A 5,262-nucleotide genomic window follows, 5' to 3' on the forward strand; every position below is an offset into this window, starting at 1 on the left:
AGTCTACAATTTAGATCTCTTTCCTTGTCCTTTGCTGTGTCTTGAGAATGACAAAGAGAGGTCAGTGGCCTGACAGACTGATGTGGCTAGTATTTTCATCAGAATCTCATTTTCTCCAAGCACCAACAGCCCCATAACTGCATGGGCAAGGACTATCACTCCTGTGATAGATGACAAGGTTTCATGTGAAGAGTAGAGGAAGATGTCCCTGTAACAATTAAGAGTAATTTTTGTCATAACCCTTGCAGCAACTGTGGCTGCTCAGTTTGGCATAAGAACTTAAAATTTCATCTTCCATGGTACTCTCCAAGCAGCCACAGTCTATAATAATTTGAATGTCTTCTAGTTTATGCCCTTCAAAGGCAGACATCAGTACATATATGCTCCTGGAAATGAACTCAGGGAATCTCAAGTTAACCATAGGGTTTGGAAGGAATTTTCAAAATTTTCATCCCCTACAGCTGGCAGTAACCCTACTGCACTGAAGCAAGAATTGAAGCTTCAATCTGTTTCAATATGTAGCATAACTGTGTCTATCTACCTTATTTTCTATGCCACATTAAAGAAATCCAACACATTAGATGCCGGGGGTTTGGAGTAGGGATAACTGTGAAAAGGAGAAATATGTTTGGGTGATACACTTACTAGGCAGCTTTACAGAAGACTGTGTACTAGTCTGAAGAGAAAGGATTGAGGTGGAAAGAAGGCAGAAGTTAAGATAGTAGTCTTTGGAAATCTGGCTTGGAATCTTGTGCCTACCACCCACAAACTCTCAGGCTTATTAAACTCATCAGGCTTATTATTCATAGTAGTAATAGTAGCTGTCTCATTTTTTATGGTCATTGTCTTTGTACTCTGATATTGGAATAAACTTTTTAGGAACAGCAGATATCCCTATTCAGCCACCCAGCTTCCCTAGCTTTCACACATATTTTGTGATGTTTTTAAAGCCTACGGATGACTCCAGCTATAAGTGAAACAACAGTCTGAATCTAATTTACCAACTTTCCTGGGAGCTACAGTTAGTCAGAACTTTCCTTCAATGCCTTGGGGGACCAAGCTGTTTACTGAGATGACACTGGGAACACTTTGTACATTAGCTCCTTGTCAAGCCAAAGTTCTTTCACTGGGGTGATCGTTCCTACCCAAATATTGAGGATGCCATTGTCTATCTCTATTTTTATGCTCATTTCCTCCCAAAGGTTCAGATCATCAGATCAAGTTTTACCTTTTTCATCAAACATCTACTGGTAAATTCAGTTTCCTTGGATTTTTTTTGCACATTTCTTCAATCAAAAAGCACTGAGAATTTGCATACACACATGTACACACAGACCACACACCCATATGCATACTCACACATATACTGAATCCAGTTAACTACATAGTCCATGTTTAATAAAGACTTTTTTGGCTGATTAATTTAAACATACAGGTTTTTGAGTGAGATTTTTAACAATGTTGTGAAAAAAATTTACCACGTAAAATTAGATTGCAATTTTTGTCAAATAACTAAATGCTGGGTGTAACTGAAATATCTTACTAGTCTCAATGTGGAAACAAAAATAAGAAATGACTCCTTCTCTCTAGAAGCTTAATATCCAGAGGACTAAGCAGATATGGATATTGATAAATGAAGTAAAGGCAGTTAATGGCTGAGCAGAGGTTGAATAACAAACGAGGTAATCTCAAGATTCCTTTCAAGATGTTGCTATCCTGACCTCAGGCTGGCCCCAATAGTCTCCAGGAAAACCTACTGGCAAATTCATGGCCCCCTACTGTCAAGTTTACTTACCTAAGTGGTCATGACGTCACACAGTCAAGTATCAGGTTCATCCTTCATTATGAGACAAGAGAAGAGCTGTTTCAGAATTTGAATCAGAGCTGTTTTGCCAGTGATGCCAAGACAGCTTTTCCCCACCCTGCCCCCCCCAGTAAGCCCTGTATTCAAATCTGTCAATTGTGAAGCACAGCAGGGATCCTGGAAGTGCTATATTATCACATCACACAAGTTCATGGTGTGCTTGCCAAGGTTGTAATGAAAAGTGGCTTGGTGATGTAAAACTTGAATTTGTTTGCCATGACATCTAGTTCAACAGTCTCAATTAATTGGTTAAGAAAACCTTTCTTATCTTCCAGAAGAGGCAAATACTTGAAAGACAAATACCTTAGCATAGGGTTTACTTAGAGCTGATCTCTATGTCCTGCTATTACTTTTAATGAACTTATAACTTAAACTTCCTGAAAATTTTTTCTAAGAATAAAATCTGAATGAACTTTCTATCCATTTTATAGCAGAAGAACATGAGGGAACTACTAAATTACATAAAATACAGACTTCAAGTATGTTGTATCTGACTGTGCTCATTGGTATGTACCAAATTGTAATTTGAAGTCATCAATATTTGAGGAAAGTGATAAAGGAAAAAAAATTAATGAATTGCTTACAATAGCAGCTGGTGACTGTAATTTTGAGCTAGAAATTATTAAATAGAATTATTTGCTTGTAAAATATGGAAGTTTAATTTGTAATTTTAAACAAATATTTTGAACAAAGACTGAATAAAATCCTGTCTTTTTTAATTTTAAAATTGTATTACTCCACAATTTTTGCTTGATATTTCTTTTTGCAAGATGACTGCAAAAAGTATTTTTAAGAAAATATTTCAAGATGTCATCAGTTTTCTCATAATCTTTATAAATCTTTCATAATCAAATTATTTTTGACTCATTGCTGCTACTGGCTTGCATTACATTTTCTGATGTTCGTAAGAAGATTAATAAGCAAAGGCTTGGCAGGCATGGGTAGATACTGGTGTAGGGAGGGCTGTTTAAGTAAAATTAGATCGCTAGTGAAAAAGAAACTCTCTTAAGGTAACTTTTACTTCTTTATACAACTTGTGTAACTGGAAGGACTAAAATAGGAGTGTTGAAAATTCAGATGATGAAGATGCTCTGTATAATTACCCCTTGTAGCAGCTGCTGTAGTACACCTCTAGGTTCTCCCTTTAGAAATGTGGCACCCATTCCCTGTTTCTGGGGGTATTACCTATTGATGGCTCACAGTAGAGCCCTCACCAGAAATGACTCACAACTGAGAAGCCTTATTGCCCCTTTCTGAAGTTAGCCCTTGTAAACCAAAAATAAAATTCTAAGCCCTGCCAGCCAACCAAATGGACCACTCCTCTTGGCCAAGGACATTTCAAAGTTAAGCTGAAACAGCCCTTCAGGCCACGGTGGGAATGGGTAGTCAGACATATCTCATTATACCCTTCTCCTTTTGGAATTCAGGCACACTGACAAGCATTAACATTAAAACAGAGATCTTAAGAAAATCTATTCTCTCTGAAGTCTGCTACCTGGAGGCTTCAACTGCATAATAAAATCTTGGTCTCTACAACTCCTTCTATTGATTCCAGTCGTTTAGACAAATGCTTTCAACCACTTGCCAATCAGAACATTTTTGAATCCACCTATGACCTGGAAGCCATCCCCTGCCCACTGCCGCTGCCCCTGCCCCCCAACATCAAGTTGTCCTACCTTTCCAGACTGAACCAATGTATATCTTGCATGTATTAATTGATGTCTTATGTCTCCCTAAACTATATAAAACCAAGCTATAGCCCAAGCTCCTTGCACACATCTTCTCAGGATCACCTGGGGCCACGTTTCTTGCATGTCCTTAACCTTGGCAAAATAAACTTCTAAATTGATTGAGACCTGTCTCAGATAGTTTTGGTTTATACCCTAAATCAATGACTAGTTAATATAGGAGGACAGAAGCCCAGGAAACTGACTTACTTAAATTTGGGGCAATTCTGAAGAGCCAATGCCACCTTTAGATTTCCCCATGAGATTGGTGGAGACCCTTATTATAATATCATCACAATTTCAATTTTCCCTCTACCTAATCCTACTCCCCTTGGTCTTTTACAGTCTTGTTCCAATGAGCACTCCTTAATACATATCTGCAAACCTCCATCTCAGAGACTTTTTCCAGGGAACCCTGCCTAAAACTGTTGGTGTTCTGAGTAATCCCATGAAGGAAAATGTAAAATTTAGGAGTTGGGAGTTGGATCACATACAATCAGGCTGGCATTGGAGAACCATCACTAGTTGTAAGTGTAATACTGACAGCCTTGGCATGAAGTGAAAATAATTATTAAAACAGTTACTGCTGGTGAATGGAACAGGATTCTATAATAATGGAGAACGCTTTCAGGAGTAATGTCTCAGTTCTTTCAGAGAGCTAATAATTATGTGGATTTTCATATGGGGTCTATTGATGCATGGAGAAAGGTGAAGAAAAACTGGGTGAATTCAGAAATAAATCCACTTATTTACAGCCAACTGATTTTCAACAAAGGTGCCAATAACATACATTGGAGAAAAAAGTCTCATCAGTAAGTGGTGTTGGAAAAGCTGAAAAATCTGTATGCAAAAGAATGAAACTAGACCACTCTCTCTCTCATCATATACAAAAGTCAACTCAAAATGAATTGAAAATTTAAACATAAGACCCACATCTATAAAACTACTAGAACAAAGCTTAGGGAAAATGCTCCAAGACATCGGTCTATGCAAAAATTTTATGGCTACGATTTAAAAAGCATACACAACAAAACCAAAAATAGACAAATGGGATATATTAAACTAAAATGCTTCTGCATAGCAAAGGAAACAATCCAACAGAGTGTAGAGGCAACCTACAGAATGAGAAAAGTATTTGCAAGCTGTTCATTGAAGAGGCTAATAACCAGAATACACAGGGAACTCAAACAACTCAATCGCAAAATATCAAGAAATCCCATTAAAAAGTGAGCAAAGGATCTGAATAGACATTTTTTAGAAAAAGGCATATAAATGGCCAACAGGTACATTAAAAATGTTTGGCATAATTATCAGAGAAATGCAAGTCAAAACCACTATGAGATATTATCTTACCACAGTTAGAATGGTTATTATCAAAAGACAAAAAAAGTAAATGCTGGTGAGGATGCGGGGAAAAGGAACTCACACACTGTTGGAGGAAATGTAAATTAGTGCAGCCATCATGGAAAACAATATGAAAGTTTTTCAAAACCTAAAAATAGAGCTACCATACAATTCAGCAATTCCACTCTTGGGTATTTATCCAAAAGAAAGGAATTCAGTATATCAAAGGAAGATCTACACTTGCATATTTATAGCAGTACTATTCACAACAGCCACGATATGGAATCGACCTAAGTGTCCATCAGATATGAATGGATGAAGAAAATG

General features: G+C 37.3%; 1 annotated feature.

The window, feature by feature from the left end:
* Positions 1,555 to 2,164: an enhancer, noted in NCBI's record as "OCT4-NANOG hESC enhancer chr14:26557386-26557995 (GRCh37/hg19 assembly coordinates)". NCBI's record gives its function as "activates a minimal SCP1, AML or CMV promoter by ChIP-STARR-seq in primed H9 embryonic stem cells {active_cell/tissue: H9 hESC(primed)}" and the evidence as "EXISTENCE:reporter gene assay evidence [ECO:0000049][PMID:30033119]".

Source organism: Homo sapiens, chromosome 14 (assembly GCF_000001405.40).
Source record: "Homo sapiens chromosome 14, GRCh38.p14 Primary Assembly".
NCBI lineage: Eukaryota > Metazoa > Chordata > Mammalia > Primates > Hominidae > Homo > Homo sapiens.